General features: G+C 42.5%; 2 annotated features.

Moving 5' to 3' along the window:
* Nucleotides 2,012-2,212: a silencer, noted in NCBI's record as "peak2063 fragment used in MPRA reporter construct". NCBI's record gives its function as "represses an SCP1 promoter by STARR-seq MPRAs in K562 erythroleukemia cells {active_cell/tissue: K562}" and the evidence as "EXISTENCE:reporter gene assay evidence [ECO:0000049][PMID:32103011]".
* Nucleotides 6,474-6,563: an enhancer, noted in NCBI's record as "active region_7544". NCBI's record gives its function as "activates an Ori minimal core promoter by ATAC-STARR-seq in GM12878 lymphoblastoid cells {active_cell/tissue: GM12878}" and the evidence as "EXISTENCE:reporter gene assay evidence [ECO:0000049][PMID:35858748]".

Raw genomic sequence — 6,910 nt, 5'->3', positions numbered from 1 at the left:
TGTTTGATGCTTGCCCCAGGCCCATCTGTGTGGGACTTCAGGCAGCTTGTCCTTCAGGACTGACTCACGAGTAAAGAAGAGGTAAGAATGCATTAAGGGAGAGAGAGTGCAGATGATCCTTTCAAGAATCTGCCCCCTTGGGCAAGCCACTTCCTCTCTGTGCCTCTGTTTCCTCATCTGTAGAATGAGAAAGTGGACCCTGCCAGCTCAGACGGACTTGTTTTCTTTTTCCTTCCTGTTCTCCTTCAGGGTTTCCATCTTTTGCAATAAGACAGGGCTGTGTCCCAATTCCTGGAAGCTCCTTTCCACCAGCCATCTTTTCTTCTCCTTGACATTGGCTGTTTCCGTGCTTCCCCTCCTTTCCCGTCCCTGCCTCCTTCCTGCTCTTGCTCTTTTTCATGTTCCCCCTTTTTTATTCTTTTTCAGCACTTCACCTTTCCCTCCTCTGCCTGGGCTTTCTAGGGTGAAGCAGCCAGGCAGGGGCCGGTTTCTGAGGTTTCCCTCCTTCCTCTCAGTGGCTTCCAGTGGACACTCGCCCATGCAGAGACAGGAAGTGGGGCTTTCAAACTGCCTGCTCAGCACTGTGGGAGAGCCCTGTCATCTCCGCCGCTGCAGGAAAGAGCCATTAACTCCAGCCTGACTTGCAAAAGGAAATTTAGAATTGCTGAAAGCCTGGCAGACTTGTGTTTATAAAACTGCCCTTTTTTTGGTCATGGTTTATCACAATGCTTGTCTCAAGACAGAAGCTAGTGCCATACCAGGCAGGATGGAGATCAGGTCTGACACTTAGTACACAATCAGTGGTTGATGAATGAGAGAATGAATGATTCTGTTGCAAAGGATGTTTCCCCCTTTTAGAACCATTGTCAGAGAAATGGGTTTTTTAAGATATGCTCCAAATGGAATTTTTAAGATATGCTCCAAATGGAAAGAGAGTAAAACAATGCTATGCATGTAAAATACATTTCCCTTTGAATTTTGGTGCTGGAAGCGTCCTCCCTGCCTTCATTCTCCTATGATACCTCCCAAAGAACCCAGACCAAACACACCTATTGAAACCACTTGTAAAAGTTTAGACTCTACCTAAGCTAACTAAGGTATGCATAGCCGGGCCAACCCCTTCCATTTTGACATTTTCTTCATTTGTTTTCTCTGCGTCTCCTCTCCAAGATCTCTTCTTCAAGCTCCCTGAGAACAAACTGCCAATCGGAACTCCCCTCCTCCCCACAAAAGACACATCCCCTTATGCAAAAGGTGAATTTTTAAATGAATGCGCTAAATTGATCTATTCTTCTTCTCTGTGTTACTCTTGATCTCTTCCTGCATGAAACTCCCTCAGCACTTGGGTTCTGTAGTGCTCACTCAACACTTAATAAATACTGCCTTATATTACTTTAATCCTTTTAATGTACCCATCCAATGCCCCAGCCACAGTGCAAGTTAATGCAAGAACGTGGGCCATGTCTGCAACCCTGGTGCCTATCCACATGTCTAATTCATAGTCAGTGATTCCTTTTTAAATTTTTTATTTTGGTTGATTACACAAGTAAAACATGCTTATGGTAGGATTACATGTTTATTGGCAGAGTAAATCAACAGAGAGAAAAATGCACAATCTCCAAAGCAATTAAAGGAATGCAAATTTTTAAAAATAAAAGACACACTTATACGTGTATTAAATGAAGAAAAATCAATAAAAATGATAAATTGCTATGTGGGAATGATTATAGGAGAGCAGATGTGCTTATACAGCAGAGGGTGGAGGGGTGCTGTCATCTGGTTTAGGATATTTGGAGCACCACCTGGAGACATATGACAGGAAGTCTAACGATCCTCATGGTGTTTAATCTTGATGCGATTGTTCACGCTGGCATCCGAGCATCCTGACCACTGCCCCTGACTGCCCCCACTAATGCTCTCTCAGCCCCTTTCCTTGCCTGTGCCCTCACCATGGATTTCCTTCTGCTTGTGTCTAAGCTCAGCTGCCTCGCCATTCCTCATTCTGCTCTAAAGTATATTTCTCCCTGAGCTAGACTTTGATAATCTGTTCTTGAAGTGTCCTCTTCAGTGTCAGATAAGTTCTGCTCTTGTGCAGGTCCATGTTCCTCCTATCAGGGACTTACAGCAAGCCCTCCAGGCAGAACCAGTCATGAGACATCACCAATTATCAGCAACCCATGTCCAAGCCATGTTGGCCATCCTTTCCTTGCCAGGAGTGTGTAAAGCAAAACTCAACAGCAGAGGCTCAGACATTGCCCATGGAGGTTATCATGGGCCAAACCAGCAGCAGGCATGTGGACTGTATCCCCTTATCCTGCAGAGCAGGCTTGAGGAGGGAAGCCCCAGATATCAGGAAGGGAATGGGCTTGGGAGGCAGGAAGACTTAGGCCCAAGTTTTAAAATTAAAACTCACTTTTACATTTACTTTTCTGATAACAAAATTATACATGTTTATTATAGTAAAATTAGAAAGTAGATGTAAGCAACAAATAAACATAAGTCAATAAATGTGATTCATGACATAAACAGAATTAAAAATGAAAAACGTAATCATTTTAATAGATGCAGAAAAAGCATTCAATAAAATCCAGCCTCCTTTTATGATAAAATCCCTCAACAAACTAGGCATCAAATGAATATATCTCAAAATAGTAAGAATCATCTATGACAAACTCACAGCCAACATCAAAATGAATGGGGAAAAGTTGAAAGCATTTCCCCCTAAAAATTAGAATGAGACAAGGATGCCCACTTTTCACCATTTCTATTCAACATAGTACTAGAAGCCCTAGTCAGAGCAATCAGGCAAGAGAAAGAAATAAAGGGCATCCAAACTGGAAAAGAGAAACTCAAACTACCTCTACCAATGATATGATCTCATACCTAGAAAATCCTAAGGAATCCTCAAAAATCTCCCAGATTTGATAAGTGAATTTAGTAGTGTTAGGTTACAAAATCAATGTACACAAATCACTAGCACTGCTATACACCAATGATGGCCAAGCTCAAAATCAAATCAAGAACTCAATCCCATTTACAATAGCTGCAAAAAATAAAAATAAAATACATAGGAATATACTTAACCAAGGAGGTGAAAGACCCCTACAAGGAGAATTACAAAACACTAATGAAAGAAATAATAGATGACACAAGCAAATGGAGAAACATACCATGCTTATGGATTAGAAGAATCAATATTGTAAAAATGACTATACTACCCAAAGCAATCCACAGATTCAGTGCAACCCTTATCAAAATACCAATGTCATTTTTCACAGAATTAGAAAAACCAATCCTAAAATTTATATGAGACCAAAGAGGGGTCCAAATAGCCAAAGCAATCCTAAGCAAAAAAAGAGCAAATCTGGAGGCATCACATTACCCAACTTCAAATTATACTACGAGGCTATTGTAATCAAAACAGCATGGAACCGGTATAAAAGTAGAATAGCATAGAGAACCCAGAAATAAAACCAAATACCTACAACCAACTGATCTTCAGCCAAACAAACAAAAACATACACTGGGGAAAGGAAATCCTATTCAATAAACAGTGCTGGGAAAATTGGATAGCCACATGTAGTGTAAAAGAATGAAACCGGGTTCCTATCTCTCACCATATACAAAAATTAATTCAAGATGGATTAAAGACATAAATCTAAGACCTGAAACCATAAAAATTCTAGAAGAAAACCTAGGAAAAACTCTTCTGGACATTGGTCTAGGCAAAGAATTTGTGACTAACACCCCAAAAACAAATGCAACAAAATAACAGAAATAAGTAAATGGGACCTAATTATTCTAAAAAGCTTCTGCATAGCAAAAGAAATAACCAACAGAGTAAAGAGACAACCTACAGAATGGGAGAAAGTATTTGCAAACTATACCTCTGACAAAGGACTAATATTCAGAAGCTACAAGGAACTCAAACAAATCAGCAAGAAAAAAAAACAAATAATCACATTAAAAAGTGGGCAAACAACTTCAAGAGATATTTCTTAAAAGAAGATATACAAATGGCCAACAAATATATTTCTTAAATGCTCAACATCACTAATTATCAGGGAAATACAAGTTAAAACCACAGTGAGATACCACCTTACCCCAGCCAGAATGGCCATTATTAAAAAGTCAAAAAACAACCGTTGTTGGTGCCGATGCAGTGAAAATGGAACACATACATTGTTGGTGGGAATGTAAATTAGTACAATCTCTATGGAAAACAATATGGAGATAATATGGAGATTTCTCAAAGAACTAAAAACAGATCTACCATTGGATCAAGCCATCCCACTACTGGGTATCTTCCCAAAGGAAAAGAAATAATTATATAAAAAAGACTCTTTCTCAGTACCTATGGAAGCATAGGGAAGAAAAGAAGGATAAAAGGGAGAAAAAACAGCACTTGCACATGTATGTTTATTGGAGCACAATTCACAATTGCAAAGATATAGAAGCAACCTAAGTGCCCATCAATGGATGAGTGGATAAATGTGTGTGTGTGTGTGTGTGTGTGTGTGTGTGTATGTGTGTGTGTGAGAGAGAGAGATGGACTACTACTCAGTCAAAAAAAGAATGAAATCATGTTATGTGCAGCAACTCAGATGAAATTGGAGGCCACTGACCTAAGTGAAGTAACTCAGGAAGGGAAAACCAACTACCACATGTTCTCACTTCTAAGTGGGAGGTAAGCTCTAAGTGCGCAAAAGCAGGGTGCTATAATGGACATCAGGAGACTCAGAAGTGGGGACAGTGTGGGGGTGAGGAATGAAAAACTACTCATTGGGTACAATGTACACTATTTGGGTGATGGGTACACTAAAAATCCAGACTTCATCACTATACAATTCATCTATGTAACCAAAGCCACTTTTACCCCTAAAACTATTGAAATTTTTTAAAAATATAATAGGGCCAAGTGCAGTAATTCCAGCACTTTGAGAGGCTGAGGTAGGAGGAATGCTTGAAACCAGGAGTTTAAGACCAGCCTAGGCAATAAAGTGAGATTCCATCTTAACAAAAAATAAAAAATAAAATAAAGTAAATTAGTTGGGCACGTTGGTGCATGACTGCAGCTCCAGCTACTCAGGAGACTGAGGCAGGAGGATTGAGCCCTGGAGTGCAAGACTGCAGTGAGCCATGATCACACCACTGCACTGCAGCCTGGATGACAGAGACCCTGTCTCTAAAAAAAGGTAATTAAAATAAATAAATAAACACACACCTATAATCCTATCACCCACTGGTCACCTTCATCACCACCTTGATATGGAGTCTTCCAGGATTCCTCCGTGTGTGTGTGTGTGTGTCATATAACATCAGATTATTGAGATAGTGGGACTCAAAAGGGTGAGCCAGGAATGAGTTTTTCTCTCCCTACACTGTTTTCAATGCCGCTCAACCAGATATCTTTTCCTTATCCCCAAAGCAAAACATCAGCATATCCCATAGCTTTTTTGGTCATTTTTAAATTTTAACTGGTAGTTCATTTTTAGGAATTAAAAATTCAAGTCCAGGCCAGGCGTGGTGGCTCACTCCTATAATCCTAGCACTTGGGGAGGCCGAGGCGGACAGATCACTTGAGGCCAGGAGTTCGAGACCAGCCTGGCCAACACGGTGACGCCCTGTCTCTACTAAAAATACAAAAAAAAAAAAAAATAGCTGGGCATGGTGGCAGGCACCTGTAATCCCGGCTACTCAGGAGACTGTGGTGGGAGGATCGCTTGAACCCGGGAGGCAGAGGCTGTAGTGAGCCAAGATGGCGCCACGGGACTCCAGCCTGGGTGACAGAGCGAGGCTCTGTCTCAAAAAAAAAAAAAAAAAAAAAAAAATTCAAGTCCAGTCTAAATAAAAACTCCTAATTCTCATTCACTTCACAGCTTTTCCCATTCCCCTAGTTCAAGCCTGGCCCAGGGACAGGACCTGCGGGGGAAGGAAGAAGGTGTAGGCCCCCCAGCCCCACCCCGCCTCACCCTATTCTACTTCCTCCCCAGCTTCTACCCGGACAGGATCAATGAGGGGAAATGGGAGAAAGTGCTTTGTGCTTGTGTGTTTGTTTACTTGGCTGTTGCTGTTTGTTGTCTCTACTAGCAAATGCCCTCTGTTATGGCAGGATATGTCTTCCAAATGCTGCCTATTCCTCTCCTGGAACATCTGTGGAGCTTGTGGAGCTTCCACGTGATCCTTCTGCTGGGGACCTCCCAGGAAGAACATGACCTCAGCTCAGATGCCATGGCAGATGCTGAAGACAGAGCAGCTGGAGGCTGTTGGCCAACTGCATTCTTCAACGCTGAGCAGCAAGTTCTTTCTTGAAAGGAGACCCAAATGCACTCCGCGGCTGCCGTGATCACCTATCTCTAGGGATCCAAAAATACGATATATTTTCGGAGGAGCATTGTTAGCCTGTTAGTTCTACCGCTTTTCCCCTCTGCTCCCTCAGTGAGGAGGGAAAAGGGTGCTTCAGTGCCAGCTCAAGCCAAGCAGAAGTGAAACCGGAAAAGTTCCCTTGTCTCCCTCGCAGGACGTGCGATGAGGGTGTGGCTCTCTTCTTCAGTGTCCCGCTGCTCAAACCTCTAGACGGGCAGGCTGTGGGGCTCCCGCCCCATGGCAGCGTCTAGGGGTGGATATTTACAGCTCCTGAAGCCCCAATGAGTGTGTGCTATTGTGTGCTCTTTCAGTTTCGCTGTCTATAGGCAGCTTGTGTTAACCAGCTCAGTTAGACCCTCTACCTTATCACAAGGACAGAGGGCTTTCTGTATCCCAGGTTCTTGCCTTGGTGTACAGGAAGAATCGGATCACAGGTGGGCTTGGAGAATGAGTGCAAGGTTTTATTCAGTGAAAGTATCTCCCAGCAGAGGGGGGAGCCAGAAAGGAGATGGTTTTCCCCTGGAGTCAGCGGCCCAGGCTTCCC

The sequence above is a fragment of the Homo sapiens genome, chromosome 13, assembly GCF_000001405.40.
Source record: "Homo sapiens chromosome 13, GRCh38.p14 Primary Assembly".
NCBI classification, from domain to species: domain Eukaryota; kingdom Metazoa; phylum Chordata; class Mammalia; order Primates; family Hominidae; genus Homo; species Homo sapiens.
Note: the sequence above shows the minus strand (reverse complement) of the source record. Positions and strands in the feature narration are given on the sequence as shown.